Source organism: Homo sapiens, chromosome 6 (assembly GCF_000001405.40).
Source record: "Homo sapiens chromosome 6, GRCh38.p14 Primary Assembly".
Classification (NCBI taxonomy): Eukaryota; Metazoa; Chordata; class Mammalia; order Primates; family Hominidae; genus Homo; species Homo sapiens.
Genome location: NC_000006.12, coordinates 27,628,515 through 27,634,514, shown reverse-complemented (window position 1 = coordinate 27,634,514; position 6,000 = coordinate 27,628,515). Strand labels below are relative to the sequence as shown.

The following is a 6,000-nucleotide window of genomic DNA, read 5'->3' as shown; positions in this document are numbered from 1 at the left end:
ACCCAGAACCTTTTGAATGAAGGTCCCCTCGAGGAAGGACCCCACTACATTACTGACAAATTATGCAGTGAATCTTTCTCCCATCCTTCCTCAAGAAGACCCCTCGCCTTTTACCAGGGCAACTGTGCATTGGGGAAAGGAAAATGATCAGACATTTTGGGGGCTACTGGACATTGGCTCTGAGCTGATGTTGATTCCAGGGGACCCAAATCGTCATTGTGGTCCTCCAGTTAAAGTAGGGGCATACGGAGGCCAGGTAATTAATGGAGTTTTAGCTCAGATCCGACTTACAGTGGGTCCCTGGACTCATCTTATGGTCATTTCCCCAGTGCCAGAATGCATAATTGGCATAGACACACTTAGCAGCTGGCAGAACCCTCACATTGGCTCCATGACTGGTAGGGTGAGGGCTGCTATGGTGGGAAAGACCAAATGGAAGCCATTAGAGCTGCCTCTATCTAGAAAAATAGTAAATCTAAAACACTCAGTCATCAAAGGAAAGGTGAGTGTAGTGACCCTGATGAACTGAGGAGTCAAAGCAGCAATTAGAATAGTCTGACTCTCATAGACCTATGGCTTTGGCTAGTTGATCATGGTGTTCTCAGAAGTGAAATAGATAGGAAGGACACTAAATTCTTTTTTTTTTTCCTAGCAGAATGATGTTTTTATTTTACCATCATGCATAAAAGGGAAGATAAATATGCCAATGGTGCACTTCTAATTTGTCAGAGCAATTTCACAATATTTATGCAATTTAGGAATGAGACACATCAGTTATTAAGTTGTTACTAGGGCAAATTATCAAGTAAGACAATCAACTACTTGATCTGTATAAACAGAAAACTACCAGATCAAGTGAAAAAAAGTCTAACTTGATAAAAACAGAGAGTCATGGCTTCTCAGTTCCCAGACTGCCACAGTTTGCACGGTTACTACGGGACTGAACTAAGGAGGATGAACACAGAAATGAAAACTTAAAACAAAAGAAACTGTTGTAAAGAAGGGATCCAGGGAAGAAGAAGAGAGCTCCTTGCTTCTAGTGAGCAAAGGCAGCCCTGAGCTTCTACAGCCCTTCGTATTTATTGGGTAGAAAGAGCAGGGAGGAGGAGGTAACGACTGGTCAGCTGCTTGATGAGTCACAGGTTCACATTATTGCTAACAGGCTTCAGATGTGCCTTATCACAAGAAACACTGTGCTTGGGGTGTGACTGCCCTCAGCATTCCTCTGGGTGGCAGACACAGCTGTCAGCTTGCCAACATTCTGCATTTATGAGAACAGTTTGCTGTTTGCTCATATAGCCTCCAGTGGTATACTGAGTTGATCACGACCCTCACTCTTTCAGCTTGCTACACCAGACTTGAGCCAGTTTATAGACTCAGAACCCTTTGAATGGAGTGGCAGTCGGGTCTTCTTGAGGAAGGACCTGGTACGCTACCAAAAATTTATACTATTAATCTTTTTCCCAGCCTTCCTCAAAGGGATCTACCATCTTTTAACAGAGTAACTGAGCACTGGGAGCAAGGAAATAATCAGACTCATTAGGGACTATAGTTCTGAGCTGACATTGATTCCAGGAGACCCCAGATCACTGTGGTACTCCAGTCAGAGTAGGGGCTTATAGAAGTCAGGTGACCAGTGAAGTTTTAGCTCAGGTCTGACTCACAGTGGGTCCAGTAAGTCCCTGAACCCATCCTGTGGTTATTTCCCCAGTTTCAGAAAGCATAATTGGAATGGACATAGTTGGCATCTGGCAGAATCCTCACATTAGTTCCCTGACCTATGGAATGAGGGCTATTAAAGTGGGAAAGAACAACTGGAAGGCATTAGAACTACCTCTACCTAGGAAAATAGTAAATCAAAAGCAATACTACATTTCTGAAGGGATTGTAGAGATTAGTGCCACCATCAAGGACTTAAAAGATGCAGGGGTGATATTTTTGCTTTCCCACATCAGAGCTCCCTCCAGGTTCTCAGGCCTTCAAAATCTGGGACTCCAGAGGAGTCTCCCTTCTCCCTGGCCCACTGCTTCCTCAGGCTTTGGGATGCAGACCTAAATCACACCACTGTTTTTCCTGATTCTCTAGCTTGCAGGCAGCATATTGTGAGATTTCTCGCCTCCACAATCCTGTGAACCAATTCTCATAATTCCTCTTATTTACCTTTATATATCCTAGTGGTTCTGTTTCTCTGGAGAATCATGACTAACACAGAATGCGTATATCACTACATGTGTGGAAAGCTGAGGACAGAACTGGGGGAATATCCATATTTAAGGAACAGGAGGAAGATTCTACAAGACCAAATGAAATCCAGGAAAGACTGGATAAAAGCACAGCCACCTGGAATCATGTATTTCAGACACCAGCATCAAGATGAATGTGTTTTTCCAAACAAGGCAGTTTGTTTACTTTTTGATGAAATTAGGAAGAAATACATACCCAGCCACTTATGTCTGATGTTTCACTGCTGGGGGAAAATTAGCATTTCTTGTTTTCTAGTCAGGTTTTTGTAAAGTAGACAGTGGAGCTCTACACAGAACACATTTAGGTTTCACAGGTGGAGTTCAACAACTTCACTGCCAACCTTGTAGATATCAAAGCTAAGGTACCTGGGAGCACTTTCTGCACATTGATGAACCCCGGTGACAGCTACACAAATCACAGAGAATAAAACCCAGTTTTTCCACCTCCTTGCTCAGTCCCCAAAGAGCTGAAGAATAGTTTTTAAGTGGAGGAGCAAGGGAGGGAGGAAGCTTCATTGAAGCTGTACAGCCTGGCTGTGAGGCCTTCTGACTGAGGAGAAATGAGTTTGCTGGATGAGTTCAATTTGGGTCTTGCTGGATTTCTTCCCTTCTCTGAAATCTGCCAAATATCCCTCCTTGATCAAAGGAATTTTTATGGGCTCACCATGGAAAATTTATCCATTTTAGCTTTTTACTTTAAAGATAAGGGAAAAATGCATTATCGTGAAATGTCTGAAATCGCAATTGGAAGAAAACATGCTCCAGGTGAGGCTCGAACTCACAACCTCGGCATCACCCGCACATATACTGTTGTATAAGTACCGCGCGCTAACCGATTGCGCCACTGGAGCATGCTTTCCTTTGCTTGGCCATGCGCACTCTACAGAGCCATGAGCTACTGAAGCGCTCGACCCCGGCCTCGCGCCGGAGCGGCAGCGCGCTGAGCTGCCCGAGATCCTCCCTTCGCAGCCCCTCGCCTCTTGCATAAAACACAATTTGATCAAGATATCTCCATCTCTCCTGGAAGATGAATGTGATCCTCCCCCATGCCATCAGGAGCCAAAATTTCCTGGGAATATGCAGGTGCTCTTTTCAGAAAGCCCGAGAAAAGCCGAGGAGAAAAAGGAGAGACTCCGGCTTCTCCTTGCCAACGTTCTAGCAAGAACACGGTTTTTGTAGAAGACGCGAGCTATTTGGCTTCTTCGTAGCTTCACCTAGCACCGCCCCGCTGGCCTGTGGTTGCTTTCAGAGCCAGGACGCGAAGAAGCGGAGCCCGCCGCCTGCCCCTCCCTCTGCGTGTCTCCCGATACCCGCAGCGCTCCTGGCGGCCCTCCCAGCCTCGCCTGCAGCGCGCCTGCATTCGCAGTCCAGCATCTCTGGGCTGTCTTTCGGGATTCCCCAAAACTCTCCCAGAGCCTGCCTGAAAACTGTATTCGAATTCACAGAGCCAGCTGGTCAGGCACCTCTTCAGGGAAAACTGGCACAGCAACCACTCCTTATTTGTGCAGCAGGTTACAAAGGTCAAGGCGGTGTTCACCCCCAGCGCTCCTCCCTCTGTCTTGATGTTCTTTTCCAATTCATTGCAGAAAGTTTGGCTCTGTGACATATACCCGCTCAGTAACCTCATCTCTGGGGCCTCAATTTTAAGGCCAACTTTGTTGCTTGATTGTTCGATTTTGGTCTGGGGGAAAAGGCAGCTGCCAAAGTACACATACACACAAGATATGAAGTCTGTTGGCTTTTATAGAATAATTTCTGTCAACCAGAAGAATTGTGTAAAAGGAATAGCGTGCCTATTCCTGACCACGGAACACTTAACAAATAGGACTGAGAGTAACGGACCAGCGACTAAGTTTCTCCATACTTTTAAAAAAAAGGGGATGCTTCCATATCTTGATGTCTATTACATAGCTGTTTTGAGATCATTTCATGTGTTTAAAATAACACCTTAAGGTGAGGAGCAGGGAGAAGCAACACAGGCTCCTTGGTAGATGACCACCTCACCAGAGAAGCTCCTACATTCTCACTACACAGTCCCAGAGGGAGCAACAAAGCTCTGCCTGAACCTCTAGAGATTGCTCCATCTAAATAACAGTAGCTCATAACAGTAGAGCTTACCATAGTGCTACGGTTTGAGTGTTTGTGTTTCTCCAAAATTATATTGAAACTTAACCTCCATTGTGATATTAGGAGGTGGGGCCTTTTGGAAAGTAATTAAGTCCTGAGGGTTCTGGCCTCCTGAATGGGATTACTGCCTACGTAAAAGAGGCTTCAGAGGGCTGCCTGGCCCTCTCATATCTTCTGCCCTGTGAGGATGCAGCAAAAGGCATCACCTTTGAAGCAGAGAGAGCATCCCTCACCAGATACCGTATCTACTGGAGCCTTGATCTTGGACTTCCCTGTCTCCAGAACTATAAAAAAAAATTATATTCTTTACAAATTATCCAGTCAAAGGTATTTTGTTAATATAGCCCTAAAGTACTAAGACACAAGGGTCAGGCACTGTTCTCAGTGAGTTCTATAAACCTCATAACAATACTAATGATTTTATGTTCCAAAACCAGATCTAGATATGAAGAACCAGCATTTGGGGAATTATTGTTCTTAAGGGATGAAAACTTATAGGACTCACAGTATGTCACTGGATATTAAACAACTCTTATCAGGAGGCCAGTCAGTGACATAATATAGGATTTATAAGCACAAAATTATGATCGGAGAAAAAGGTGGATGGAAAGCTGAATGTTTTGAATTGTTGATGTTAAAAAAGTGACTGTCTTCAGTTCTCTACCCACTGTGCCATAGAAAACTGACCTGTTACGATCTACACCAATAGACACCCCGGGCCTCTGGCTTCAAGTTGAATTTTTTTTTTTTTTTTTTTGAGACGGAGTCTCGCTCCATTGTCCAGGCTGGAGTGCAGTGGCAATCTCAGCTCCCTGCAACCTCTGCCTTCCAGGTTCAAGTGATTCTCCTGCCTCAACCTCCCAAGTAGCTGGGACTACAGGCACGTGCCACTATGCCCGGCTAATTTTTGTATTTTTAGCACAGACGGGGTTTCACTGTGTTGACCAGGCTGGTCTCAAACTCCTGACTTGTGATCCACCCACCTCGGCCTCCCAAAGTGCTGGGATAATAGGTGTGAGCTACCATGCCCGGCCTCAAGTTGAATTTCATTAGTGGGAGCACAGCATAAGATCAGAATGAGATTGGAGAAAGAGGCTAGAGTATTTATCTGAATCTCTTTCTGTGGGTCAACTCTGGCTAGTTCATCAAAGTGGACCTTTCCTCCAAATTTCAGTAATGGTTTTTTCCTCTCTCCTTCAGGTCTAGGGGTGTAGACCACTCTGCTATCAGTAACCCTAGAGTACTGCCCTCTTCTTTCTCCTTCCCCCAGCCTGCCCATACCCTTACTAGACACCTTTATTAAACAGTCCCTTTATTAAATCCTTCTAAAATTATTGCAATTAGAATAAGACATCTGTATTCTCTTGAGATCCTGACTGATAGAAATCATGATACTATTGATAATGTCATTATGAGTGATTAGAAGTAGTTTGGGGAGGCCAAGGAGGGGGTGGCTCACGCCTGTAATCCCAGCACTTTGGGAGGCTGAGGTGGGCGGATCACCTGAGGTCGGGAGTTCAAGACCAGCCTGACCAACATGGAGAAACCCCATCTCTACTAAAACTACAAAATTAGCTGGGTGTGGTGGCGCATGCCTATAATCCCAGCTACTCGGGAGGCTAAGGCAGAA

The 6,000-nt window shown here is 45.1% G+C and overlaps 1 non-coding gene across 1 annotated transcript, besides 1 other annotated feature; it reads right to left on the bottom strand.

Annotated features, from left to right (window-relative positions):
* Window positions 2,884–2,953: an enhancer, noted in NCBI's record as "active region_24297". NCBI's record gives its function as "activates an Ori minimal core promoter by ATAC-STARR-seq in GM12878 lymphoblastoid cells {active_cell/tissue: GM12878}" and the evidence as "EXISTENCE:reporter gene assay evidence [ECO:0000049][PMID:35858748]".
* Window positions 3,001–3,094, bottom strand: TRI-TAT2-3 (tRNA-Ile (anticodon TAT) 2-3). Its single transcript has 2 exons — window positions 3,057–3,094; window positions 3,001–3,036 (listed from the first exon to the last, which is right to left on the bottom strand). It is a non-coding gene; the product is annotated as a tRNA-Ile (tRNA).
* Between the last annotated feature and the right edge of the window lie 2,906 nt (window positions 3,095–6,000).